This window comes from Homo sapiens, chromosome 2 (assembly GCF_000001405.40).
Source record: "Homo sapiens chromosome 2, GRCh38.p14 Primary Assembly".
NCBI lineage: Eukaryota > Metazoa > Chordata > Mammalia > Primates > Hominidae > Homo > Homo sapiens.
In genome coordinates this window covers 231,085,768-231,099,424 of record NC_000002.12, presented here as the reverse complement: position 1 = coordinate 231,099,424, position 13,657 = coordinate 231,085,768, and the positions used below count along the sequence as shown (strand labels likewise).

The following is a 13,657-nucleotide window of genomic DNA, read 5'->3' as shown; positions in this document are numbered from 1 at the left end:
ACCCACCTTCAAACCCTCAATCTTCTGACCAAACTTTGGGTCGAATGAGGATGTAACGTGTCAGCTTCTAATCCGATATGTTAATGGTAAAAGTCCAGTGTCTCAGGAAGAACTAGGCTATGCCCTTTATTGGAGGCAAAGACCTGCCCTCCTTTTTCCTTTAAAAACAAATAGGGAAGAACCCAATCTGGTACCTCAAAATGAAAAGTCAGAGGAGCCAGCTCTCATGCCTAAAAATTCCAGCGCATGGGATCCCTTAGACTATCTAACCCCGTTCAGTGTCCCCAATCTTTCCGCTCAGACAGCCACTGCTGCCTCAGATCCCATTCCAAATTCCCTCTCTACTCAACGTTATCCTTCCTCGTTATAACCCTGACTCTTAGGAATTACCATCCCATCAGCCTGTTCCCTCCCAACCTAAATACCCCTCTCTAAAAGGACTCCAGTGTGAAGTAGAACAATGTAAAAAAGATATTCAGAATTTCCCATTTCCCTCTGTACCTAAGAGATCAGCCCCGACTTTCTTTCCTTTGAAAGAGGTACCACAAGGAAGGGGGGGCCATTGGCTTTGTAAATGCTCCCCTAACCAGTTCAGAAATCCAGAATTTTAAAAAGGTGCTTAAACTGCTACTGGATGACCTTTACGGAATGGCAGACCAAATTGACCAATTCTTAGGACCTCAGTTGTATACTTGGGTCGAGTTAATGTCCATCTTGGGCATCCTCTTTTCAGAGGAAGAAAGAGAAGCTCTACTCCCGCTGGTCCCTCCCCTAGAGGAAGTGGAAGGAGAGGGGAGAACAGCAGCATAAGTGGCTGGCAGAGGCAGGGAAAGAACAGCAGAGAGGGGAGAGAGAGAGAGAGAGAGAGAAGAGAAAGGGGAAAGAGAGGCAGAGAGAGAAAGAGAAGAAGAGACAGAAAAAGAGGGAGTCAGAGAGATAGAGACAGAGAGAGAGAGAAAGAGACAGAGAGAGAGAGAAAGAGACAGAGAGACAAAGAGGGAGTCAGAGACAGAGAAAGAGAGAGAACAGAAACTCAAAGAGAGAGAGAGATAGAAGTAGTAAAGAGAAAACAGTGTACCCTATTCCTTTAAAAGCCAGGATAAATTAAAAACCTATAATTGATAATTGAAGGTCTTCTCCGTGACCCTATAACACTCCAATACCACCTTGTTGTCAGTGTAAACAAGGGTGTAGCCAGAAAGCACTGAAGCCACTTACAACCTGTAGCTTTCCTATCAAAAATCCTTAACCCAGTAACCCGTGGATGGCCCAAATGCATTTAATCTGTAGTGGCAACTGCTTTGCTAGCAGAAGAAAGCAGTCCGGCACCCTGCGGGTCAGCCCCCGAGGGCCATCCAGCTTCCGTCTCCCAACACTAAGTTCAATTCATGTCTCTCACGACAGGGAGGAAACTTAGCATTCCTTGGAGACCTGAAGGGATGCAGTGAGCTTAAGAATTTTCAACAGGTTATCAATCAGTCAGCCCTTGTTCATCCCCAAGCAGATGTGTGGTGGTATTGTGGTGGACCTTTGCTGGACACTCTGCCAAATAACTGGAGTGCACTTGTGCTTTAGTCCAATTGGCTATCCCTTTCACCCTGGCATTTCATCAACCAGAGGAAGGAAAAATAAGACACTGTAAAGCAAGAGAAGCCCCCTATGGGTCTTTCGACTCTCACGTCTATTTAGACACAATTAGAGTCCCACAGGGAATACTAGATCAATTTAAAACCCAAAATCAAATAGCTGCAGGATTTGAGTCAATATTTTGGTGGGTGACAATAAAAATGTAGACTGTATAAACTACATCTATTACAACCAGCAGCGATTTATTAACTACACTAGAGATGCTGTTAAAGGAATAGCTGAACAATTAGGGGCTACTAGTCAGATGGCTTGGGAAAATAAGATAGCCTTAGGCTATCTTATTTATTAGCAGAAAGAGCAGGAGTTTGTGTCATGATTAAAACTCAATGTTGCACCTTTATCCCAAACAACACTGTTCCTAATGGAAGTATAACAAAGGCACTGCAAGGTCTGACTGCTCTATCCAATGAGTTAGCCAGCAACTCAAGGGTAAATGACCCCTTTACAGGATGGCTAGAAAAGTAGTTCAGTAAATGGAAAGGAATAATAGCCTCAATTCTTATTTCCCTCACTGCCGTAATAGGTAATTATTCTTGTTGGGTGCTGTGTCATACCATGCATCTGTAAGTTGATGCAGAGGCTCATAAAAACAGCACTTACTAAAACCTCCACCAACTATCCTCCATCTTATCCAGAGAAGCTTCTTCTTTTGGAAAATCAAGCAAAACAACTAAGCCAAGACTTGTAAAAAAGTTTGAAAAGAAAGCTGTAAGGAAATACAAGGGGAGGGATTGTTAGATATGAGTTCTAAATTTGTTTTCAAAGAATATGTCAGTATGTTCAATTCTTTGCCTTCTACTTTTAAACTTAACTTCCTCATAAAGCAACCTTTTTCGATTTCCTACTCCACCCTGACTCATTCCGATCATCTGCTCCACCCTAACTCATTCCAATTACCTGCTACCTGCTCTGCCCTGACTCCCGCCAAAGCGCTCACCCCGTCATTCTCTTTAAGTTAGCCAATCAGAATTAGTTTAGCCTGTGCGGTCTAACCCTAGCCAATAGGGAAATGACACAGCAGCAGGGGCCACGTGCATCAGGGATAAGAACGCTTTCCCCTCCCTTGTCCAAGTGTGCGCTCACCACTGCTCCATCTGTAAGGGCGCACCCTTCTATAGAAGTAACTTGCCTTGCTGAGAATTAAAAAGAAAATTTTATATTCAAGTGCTATTTCTTTTGTGGCACCGAAACTTTATATGTAACAGTTGTTTCCCATAACCCGTGGTTCCCCGAAGAAGGTACATTAGACATAGAGCTCTGGAAACCAGTTGGGAGAAATCTTAAACAACATCATGCAGAAGGGCAATGGGTCCCAGTAACATCTCTAATGTTATGGGCCTTAGTCAGGGCTGCTTTGGTCCTGCTATACACAGAAGTGCCTAAAAAGGGTAGGGAAGAGGAACCATCACCTACCTTACCGACTCCATCTCCCTCAGCCCCGCCATTAACAGAAAAAAATAACAAAAAGGAAATGGAGGTTTTGCCTGAGTCCCCTCCTCCAATAAATTGGAAAAAAGACAAGGGATATCCTACAGCTATGGGATTCTGTCTTAGGCAAGCAGCATTAGAAGGGGAGCTCTTAGCCTGCCTGGTAATGCAAGATCAACAAGGCAATCAGGTACATGAACCCATTTATTTTAAAGCTTATAAAGAGATAAGAAAAAGCATTAGAAAGAACGGAGCCGCTAGCCCATTTACAAGAGGTTTGAGGTCACTCTGCAGACCTCTTTCTAATAATGGCCACTGTTATTATTCCTCCCCTACCCTTAACATGGCTCTCTCAAGATCCAACTTGGGTAGAACAGTGGCCTTTAAAGGGAAAGAAATTACAAAGAGCCCATGAATTAGTTGAGGAGCAATTAAAAGCTGGCCATATAGAATTGTCAAACAGCCCTCGGAATTCACCCATTTTCGTCATTCCCAAAAGGTCTGGCAAATGGAGACTTCTGCATGACTTACAGGCTATTAATGCTAATTTGCAACCCATGGGGCCTCAACAGGGCCTCCCTTCCCCCGCAGCGATTCCTCAAGATTGGCCTTTAGCCGTTATTGACTTAAAAGACCGCTTTTATACTATTCCCCTTGCAGAACAGGACAGAGAAAAATTTGCATTTACCATACCAGCTATCAATAATGAAAGGTCAGCTAGCTGATTTCATTGGAAAGTGTTTCCTCAAGGGATGCTAAATAGTCCTACCATGTGTCAGTATCATGTCAATCAAGCTTTGCTCCCCAGTAGAAAAGAAGTTCCTACTTGCAAGATTATTCATTTTATGGATGATATTTACTAGCAGCCCCAACAAAGGCATTTAAGTTTATATGCCTCTGTCATAAAGAATACACAGCTAAGAGGTTTAAACATAGCACCTAAAAATGTGCAAATGTCCTCTCCTTGGAAATATCTTGGATACATGCTAATTTCCTGGTCAATAAGACTTCAAAAGGTTAAATTAAATACTAGCAACTTATACACCTTAAATGATTATCAAAAATTATTGGGCAATATTAATTGGCTTCGTCCCACCTTGGGCATGACTACTGATAAGCTGCAAAACCTGTTTTCCATCCTAAAGGGCAATACAGCCCCAGACTCTCCCAGGTATTTAACTCCTGCAGCAAAAAGGGGAATTGAGGAAATAGAGCAAGCTATTTCTCAGAGGCAACTAAATCGCATAGACCCAAATTATTCAGTTCAATTGTTTGTTTTTCCTACTAAACACTCCCGACAGGGTTAATAGGACAAATGGCCCCAGGGCTACGCTTCCTGGAATGGATTTTTTGCTCACATACCTGGACTAAAACACTATCTCCCTATATCCAGCTAGTTAATAAAGTCAACTATACAAGCTGCAGACAATGCAATCAGTCACTAGGTTATGACCCTGATGTCATAGAATTCCTTCAAGTAAAAAGCAATTCAAAGCAGTATTGCCCTTATCTCTAGACCTGCAAATAGCACTTTCTGATTATACAGGCCATATAGAGCATGCCCTTCCTGCTGACAAACTTAATTCAGTTCTTATCTCATACTTCTGTAGTTGTGCCTATAAAAGTAGTTCACTCCCCCATACCCAACGCTTTAATGCTTTTTACTGACGGTTCTGGTAAAAATGGAAAAGTGGCAATTTGGTAGAAACCACATAATTCCCTTACTCATTCTGGATTTACTAGCACTCAGACAGCTAAGGCTGGAGCCTTAATACTGGCACTGGAAACTTTTTCTGCTCAGCCCATCAATATTGTTAGTGACCCTGCTTACTCTGTTTATTTATTGCAGAACCTTGAAACAGCCCTCAAGTCCATTCTCGAGCCCACCCTGTGTGCACTTTTTCTTTGACTTCAGCAATTGCTGGATCAACGTACACATCCTATTTCTAATCACACATATTGGAGCCCACAGCTCACTGCCTGGCCCATTGGCTTATGGCAATGAACAAGCAGATATGCAAGTTATGACGTCACTGCTTGACCAAGCCACCCAATTGCATCAATTTTTCCACCAAAATTGGAGTAATTTAACTAAACAATTTAAACTCACCCAAAGGCTAGCTAAAGAAATTATCCTGCAATGCCCAGATTGCCAGCTCACAGGCACCTCCCCTCCTTCAACACGTGTTAACCCTAGAGGACGGCACCGCCCCTCCAACAGGTGTTAACCCTAGAGGACTAGAACCTAATCAGTTATGGCAAACAGATGTTACTCACATCCTAAATTTAGAAAACAAAGATATGTACATGTATCCATTGATGCCAATTCTCAGTTAATTAGTGCACATACTTTTCCTGGAGAGTCCACCCAATATATTATTAAACATCTACTCTTAACTTTTGCATTTATAGGGCGGCCCACAAAAATTAAAACTGATAATGGTCTGGCTTATGCCAGCTCACAATTTCAACAATTTTGTCACACGTGGAACATCCAACATTCCACAGGCATCTCGTATAACCCCCAAGGACAGTAGAACATACCCATTCCACTCTTAAAAATATGCTCAAAAAAACAAAAAAGGGGGAATATGGGTAAGAACCTGGCAACACTACTGGCACAAGCCTTATTTACCCTTAATTTTTAAAATTTAGATGATAAATTTCAGCCATAGAAAAGCACTTTGCTAAAACCTCTCAAGACATAAAACCTGCAGTTTAATGGAAAAATGTAAATAGTAATGTATGGTGTGGTCCAAATGATTTGCTTACATGGGAAAGAGGATATGCTTGTGTTCACACCCCCTCAGGTCCTCTCTGGATTCTAGCACGATACATCAAATCATACCATGGTGTGGCTAGGACCCAACCTGGTACCAGAAATGAAGGAAATGTCCCTGCAGGACCAGCAGCCCCGGACGACGCGGCTTCCTAGGATGACACAAGCCCCGGACTTTACCTGGGGGATGCTGAAGAAGACAACTCAGGAGGCTGAGCGAATCCTGCTCCAGACACAGACACCATTCACTCCACATAATTTGTTCCTTGCTATGCCTTCTGTTGTACACTGCAACTCTCATAGGGTATTAACCCTTCTTAATCTCTCACTCTGCCTGCAACCTGCACCTGCTACTCTCTATTGGGCTCATCTCTTAGATCTGCTTTTCTTTTGCCCTGTTACTTGAGCAGACACCCGCTTCCCAACCTCTAATAACATAATTGCTTGGCTTAGATCTGCTTTTCTTTTGCCCTGTTACTTGGGCAGACACCCCCTTCCCAACCTCTAATAACATAACTGCTTGGCTAGGAGGGATTGACTTACCCCCAGTGGGGTCCCTCATTAATGGCACACATTGGATTAAGATGCCAGGTAACACTATATATCACTCCACTATCCTCCCACTGTGCATTAGTTATAAAAGTTCCAATCCTTACTGTGTACCTGCCCAAACTCAAGTATGGCTATATCATGGCAAAGGAAATGCCTTAACATTCTTGGTTGCAGATAGCCTCAAACCGGGCAATGCAACCAACGCCACTTTCCCCAACATTCCTTCCTGTGCTAAAGAACATAGCCAGGAAAGTAATGGATTCCACTTTGGCTGGGAGGTCTGTCATGGAGGACAAGCCCGTAGACTCCATTTAGGCTATTATAACATCTTAGACTAGAGCCCCCACTGACACTTGCAGAGCAACCATACTGATGTCCTCATCCATCGTGGCATCAATCACAGTTTTGCAGCCACGTCTCATTCCCGTACAATTTGGGCCGATGGAGGGACGGGATATCCCAGATCCCAAGGAGAGTCCATGCCACCCCAAGACACTTTATGGTGCCTGGGACATCTTAGCATCTCCCTTTACACCTGGTATGGGACATACCATAATTCCAGTAACAACTATACTGTGACCTTTATTCATAATCACACAGATCAGTGCCTGATTTGCACTACCCATCCATATGTTTTCCTTATGGGAACCAATATTTCCATTACACCCCAAAACTCCACGTTTGTGACCCGAGTGCAGGGACAGGTTTGGTTTGCCTCATGCGTCACTAATTATATCTAATTTAAATATTACTAGTATCATGGTATTAAGGAGACAATCTGAAGCATTCCCACCAATTTGACACGTGATTGGCAAGGTTCCTCTGCTCTTGCCACCTGAGAACATGCCCCGTCCCAGGTCAGACCCAAAAGATTCATAGGCACACTTATAAAACCTTTATAGTCTCAGCCATAGTCATCTTAGCAACTGCTAGTATTGCTGTGGCCTCTATTACTGAATCTGTAAAAACAGCTACCTTTGTAGGTAACTTGGCCAAAAATGTGTCTAATGAACTTCTCTTAGAGCAGGGTACAGATCAAAAGATTCTTGCACGCCTGCAAGCCCCTGAGGCTGCCTTAGAATATACAGGGGAGCAGCAAGATGCGCTGGCATTCCGACAGCACTTAAACTGTGACTGGGAGCATAAGTGTATCTGTGTCACCTCCCTACCTTGGAATCAACCAATACATAGTTGGGATGAGGTGAAACAACACCCCTGGGGAACCTTATATGATAATTTAACAGCAGACTTAAGACAACTTAAAACTAAAATTCTAGAATCCCTAAACACCGTAGATCTACACGCCCAACAAACAGCCATATGGAAGGATGTGAGATAACATCTCTCCTGGATAGACCCCCACTCCTGGGGGTCAATTCTTGTTGGAAAAGAATGTTACTGATTATACTCATGTTTGTCTTATGCTATTTACTAATTCTAGGATGCAAAGCTGGAAAACGAGTTATAACCACTATGCCTAACAAATCTGCTGCTGCACACATCTGTACTCTTCAATTAACAAAACCTGATGTAAAAAGCAGAAAAGGAAGGAGGAGATGTAGGAGATCAGTCAGGGTGGTGGGAAAAGTTATAAAAATTATAGGGAAAGATGCAAACCTTATTGGAAGGCCGGGAGGTTTTGCAAAAGCTTCAAGAGGATTTAGCTGAAGGCAGTTAAATTCTCTTAAGAGCAAGGGTTACATAACAAGGGAATGTAAAGGAACTTATCTAGATAAACTTGTTTACTCTTGTCTCCAGAAACTAATCTGTGATCATTCGTGTGCAGGACTGCTCTCTATTTGGTGGGTCGACAATGTTAATTACCCACAAATTGTGTTTGCTCCAAGCCTTTCTCATTAAATCTGTACTAAATAAACACGAGCATCTCTGGCTTATAGAGGCGGCTAACTCTCTTCGGCCCTAGTGCCAGCAGCCCCCTAGCCCACTCCTTCACTGGATATCCATGTCTGAGAACTTCTTTCATCTATCACTCGGCCAGGGTCTGCAGGTCAGACCCAAAAAGTGATTACTTCTTTTTTATTTTTTCCTACACCTAACATTTCAACAATGTCGACAGCATCTTCAGGAGTAGATTCCAAATGAAGAAACTACTTTCTTTGCTCATCCCAAGAAACAACTCCTCAGCCATTGATGTTTTATCAGTCACATCTTCAGACTCCATTTCTAGTTCTAGTTCTCTTGTTATTTTCACCAATTCTGCAATTCCTTCTTCCACTAAAGCCTTGAACCCCTCAAAGTTATCCATGAGGGATGGAATCAACTTCTTCTAGACTGCTGCTAATGTTGATATTTTGACTTCCTCCTGTGAATCATGAATGTTCTTATGGCATCTGGAATGGTGACTGCTTTCCAGAAGGTATTCAATTTACTTTGCCCAGAGCCATCAGAGGAATCACGTTTTATGGCAGCTAGTCTTTTTTATTTATTATTTATTTTTTTGAGATGGAGTCTTGCTTTGTCGCCCAGGATGGAGTGCAATGGTGTGATCTCAGCTCACTGCAACCTCCGCCTCCCAGGTTCAAGTGATTTTCCTGCCTCAGCCTCCTGAGTAGCTGGGATTACAGGCACCTGCCACCATGTCCAGCTAATTTTTGTATTTTTAGTAGAGACAAGGTTTCACCGCAGACAGGGTTTCACCATGTCAGCCAGGCTGGTCTCAAACTCCTGATCTTGGGTGATCTGCCGCGTTGGCTTCCCAAAGTGCTGGGATTACAGGCGTGAGCCACCACGCCCAGCCTATGGCAGCTATAGTCTTAAGAAATGACTTAAATAATACGACTTGAAAGTAAAAAATTACTCCTCGATCCACAGGCTGCAGAATGGTTATTGTGTTAGCAGGCATAAAAATAACATTAATCTCCTTGTACAACTCCATCAGAACCCATGGGGGACCAAGTGCATTGTCTATGAGCAGTAATATTTTGAAAAGAATCTTTTTTCTGACCAGTAATTCTCAACAGTGGGCTTCAAATATTTAGCATACCACATAAACAGATGTGCTGTGTGATGGTTAATACTGAGTGTCAACTTGACTGGATTGAAGGATGAAAAGTATTGATCCTGGGTATGTCTGTGAGGGCGCTGCCAAAGGAGATTAACATTGGAGTCAGTGGGCTGGGGAAGGCAGATCCACCCTTAATCTGAGTGGGCATAATCTAATCAGCTCTCAGGGAATATAAAGCAGGCAGAAAAACGTGAAAAGGAGAGACTGGATTAGCCTCCAGCCTACATCCTTCTCCTGTGCTGGATGCTTCCTGCCTTCAAACATTGGACTCCAAGTTCTTCAGTTTTGAGACTCAAACTGGCTCTCCTTGCTCCTTAAGCTTGCAGACAGCCTATTGTGGGACCTTGTGATTGTTTAAGTTAATACTTAATAAACTCCCATATATATATATATATATATCCTATTAATTCTGTCCCTCTAGGGAACCCTGACTAATACATGCTGTCATCCAGGCTTTGTTGTTTCATTTCTAGAACACGTAGAACAGCTTTAGCATAATTCTTAAGGGCCCCAGCATTTTCAGAATGATACAAGAGCATTGGCTTCAACTTAAAGTCACCCACTGCATTAGCTTCTGACAAGAACAGCCTGTCCTCTGAAGCTGTGAAACCAGGAATTGACTTCTCCTCTCTAGGCTATGAAAGTCCTAGATGGCATCTTCTTCAAATAGAAGGCTATTCTGTCTACATGGAAAATCTGTTGTTTAGGATAGCCACCTTCATCAATGATCTTAGCTAGATCTTCTGGGTAACTTGCTGCAGCTTCTGCATCAGCACTTGTTGCCTCTCCTTGCACCTCCATGTTATGGAGACAGCTTCTTTCCCCAAACTTCATGAACCAAGCTCTCTGCTAGCTTCAAGCTTTTCTTCTGCAGCTTCCTCACCTCTCTCAGCCTTTCCAGAACTGAAGAGTTAACGTCTTGCTCTGTATTGGGCTTTGGCTTAAGGGAAGGTTGTGGCTGCTTTGATCTTCTCTCCGGAGCACTACAACTTTTTCCTTATCAGCAATAAGGCTGTTGCACTTCCTTATCATTTGCGTGTCCACTGGAGTAGCACTGTTAATTTTCTCCAAGAACTTTTTCTTTGCATTCACAACTTGGCTATCTGTGATGCAAGAGGCCTACCTTTGGTCTATCTTGGCTTTCGACATGTCTTCCTCACTAAGCTTTATCATTTCTAGTTTTTGATTTAAAGTGAGAAATGTGGGACTCTCTCTTTCACTTAAGCACTCAGAGGCCATGTAGGGTTATTAACTGGCCTAATTTCAATATTATTGTGTCTCAGGGAATAGGGAGTCCCAAGAAGAGGGAGAGAGATGGAGGAATGATCGGTGTGTGGAGCAGTCAGAACACACATTTATTGATTGAGTTTGCTGTTTTACATGGGTGTGGTTCGTGGTGTCCCAAAACAACTACGATGGTAACATCAAAAATCACTGATGACAGATTACCATAACAGATAAAATAACGAAAAAGTCTGGAATATTGTGAGGATTACCAAAATGTGACACAGAGAAATGAAATGAGCACACATTGTTAGAAAAATGGTTTTGGTAGACTTGCTTGATGCAGGCTTGTCACAAACCTTCAATTTTTAAACAAATGCAGTATCTGCAAAGCTTAATAAAGCAAAGTGCAGTAAAACAAGGTATGCTTGTATCTTAGCTAAGAGAAACACTGATGTCTGAGATTGAATCTAAGTAGACAGTAATGAATTACTGGAAGAACTACTATTACATCTATTAATACTACCACCAACTCCACAACTACAACTACTACAATTACCATTATTAATACACACTTAGTTCTTACTAGTACCAGACACCACTCTAAGGGCATTGCATATATATATTAATTCACTTGTCAAAAACATCTTCTCAGATGGGTATTATGATTATACTCATTTTAAAGACAAGGAAACTGAGGCGCAAAGAGGTTGAGCAACTTGCTGAAAGTCATTCAGCTAGTAAGAAGCTGAGTCAGGAGTCAACCCAGGCAGATGGGTTTAGAGTGTGACTTCTTTTTTTTTTTTTGAGAGGGAGTCTCACTCTGTCACCCCAGGCTGGAGTGCAGTGGCGCGATCTCGGCTCACTGCAACTTCTGCCTCCCAGATTCAAGCGATTCTCCTGCCTCAGCCTCCCGAGTAGCTGAGATTACAGGTGCGTGCCACCACACGTGGCTAATTTTTTGTATTTTTAGTAGAGACAGGGTTTCACCGTGTTAGTCAGGGTGATCTCGAACTCCTGACTTCGTGATCCGCCTTCCTCGGCCTCCCAAAGTGCTGGGATTACAGGCATGAGCTACCGCGCCCAGCCAAGAGTATGACTTCTTAAACACAACTATATCATACTGCCAAGGACATCTCCATGACTATAAGTAAAAGATAATCTTTAAAAATTTTCACTCTGGCATTTAAACAAAACCTATTACCTTTCACTTTCATTAAAGCCCTTCAAAAACTTTACAAACCTGTGTAAGAGATAATATCCATTTGAACTACCAATATACAAGAAGAGGAGTACTGGATGTGTTATTTGGATTTAAAAAGTTAAATGAATAAGCAGAATGCTACCAAAAAATGAACAGAAATAACTACTTCTAAAAGAGGTTCTCAGAATCCCATGATATGCTTTGTTCTTTTTCAGATGAACAGTACTAATCTCGCTATTAAATGGTCCTCACTCTGAACCCAGATATACTCCTCAGGTATTTAGTTTTTGTTTAGTGACTAAACTGTTTGGTAGTTTCGGTAGTGACTACTACATTTCCAAAAAAAATGAAATATAAATAGAATAAGAAGTTTGAAGTTATTACCTGAATAGAATGAACCCAAGTGATTCTACTGCTGCCCTCCTGACATCATCATTAACATCACTTACCTAGGGGGAAAAGTTTAAGATTATATTATACTATGTAGTCTACCACTAGACCAAACTGACATGAGAGGTCAGCATCATTCAACAGTGAGTGTATACCTCACTACTGATAGGTATATCAAAACATTATGTTGCACACCTCTAAACATATACAATAAATGAATACATTCAAAAAATAGACACATGTATTTTTATTTTTATTTTTATAGAGACAGGGTCTCCCTATGTTGCCCAGTCTGGTCTCAAACTTCTGGGGCTCAGGAGATCCTCCCACCTTGGCCTCACAAAGTGCTGGGATTACAGGCATAAGCCACTGCACCTGGCCACATGTATTTTTGAAGAATAAATTTCTGTCCCCAGTTTAGAAAAAGTTATTGAAAAATTTCAATTCAGGGGCTTAGAAGTCTTCACAGCTTGACAAAGTTTAAGATTCAGGGTTACTTTTCTCTCTCTTTTTCTTTTTAAGACAGAGTCTCACTCTGTCACCCAGGCTGGAGTGCAGTGGCACAATCTTGGCTCACTGCAACCTCTGCCTCCCGGGTTCAAGTGTTTCTCCTGCTGCAGGCTCCCAAGTAGCTGGGACTACAGGCGTGTGCCACCATGCCCAGCTAATTTTTCTATTTTTTGTGGAGATGGGGTTTCACCACGTTGGACATGCTAGTCTTAAACTCCTGACCAGAGGTGATCTGCCCACCACTGCCTCCCAAAGTGCTGGGATTACTGGTGTACGCCACCATGCCCGGCCCCAGGGCTACTTCTTAAGACCATTTCAACTGGCCAGACACAGTGGCTCACACCTGTAATCCTAGCACTTTTGAGAGGCCAAAACAGGAGGATTGCTTGAGCCCAGGAGTTCGAGATCTGCCTAGGCAACACAGCGAGACCCTGTCTACACAAAAAGTTAAAAAATTAGGCAGGCACGGTGGTGTGTGCCTGTAGTTCTAGCTACATGGGAAGCTGAGGTAGGAGGAGGATCACTTGAGCCCAGTAGTTTGAGGCTGCAATGAGCTGTGATTGTGCTACTGCGCTCCAGCCTGGATGATAGAGCGAAACCCTGTCTCAAAGTCGCTAAAAAAAAAAAAAGAAAAAGACTATTTCAGCTGCATTATGGCTTTTGCAAAATATGAACATTTAGAACATACTGCACTGCTAAAAAAATTATTTATTAATTATTAATAAATACTGTGGAAAATATTATCTCTGGGAAAAAGGAGTTAACAATAGTTCTAAGTCTTTCTGCATAGAAAGGTACCCTTGGTTTACCTTTTCCCAGCACCACGATGATAAAAACCTATTAAGACACGTGGAATGTCCACTGTGTGACCAGGCAATATTACTTATTGCTGATAACT

General features: G+C 42.3%; 1 protein-coding gene across 4 annotated transcripts in view; it reads right to left on the bottom strand.

The window, feature by feature from the left end:
• The window catches only part of PSMD1 (proteasome 26S subunit, non-ATPase 1), a 115,961-nt gene that overhangs the window by 73,403 nt on the left and 28,901 nt on the right, over positions 1-13,657 (bottom strand). For 3 of the 4 annotated variants that reach the window (NR_034059.2, NM_002807.4, NM_001191037.2), the window contains one exon: positions 12,244-12,308. Coding sequence is in view for 3 of the 4 variants with exons in the window: in NM_002807.4 (NP_002798.2) it covers positions 12,244-12,308 (65 nt within the window). In the remaining variant the exon portion in view is untranslated. Of the gene's footprint in view, positions 1-4,744; positions 4,749-12,243; positions 12,309-13,657 lie in introns of all 4 variants that reach the window. The other variant, XM_017004517.3, reaches the window with a different exon arrangement.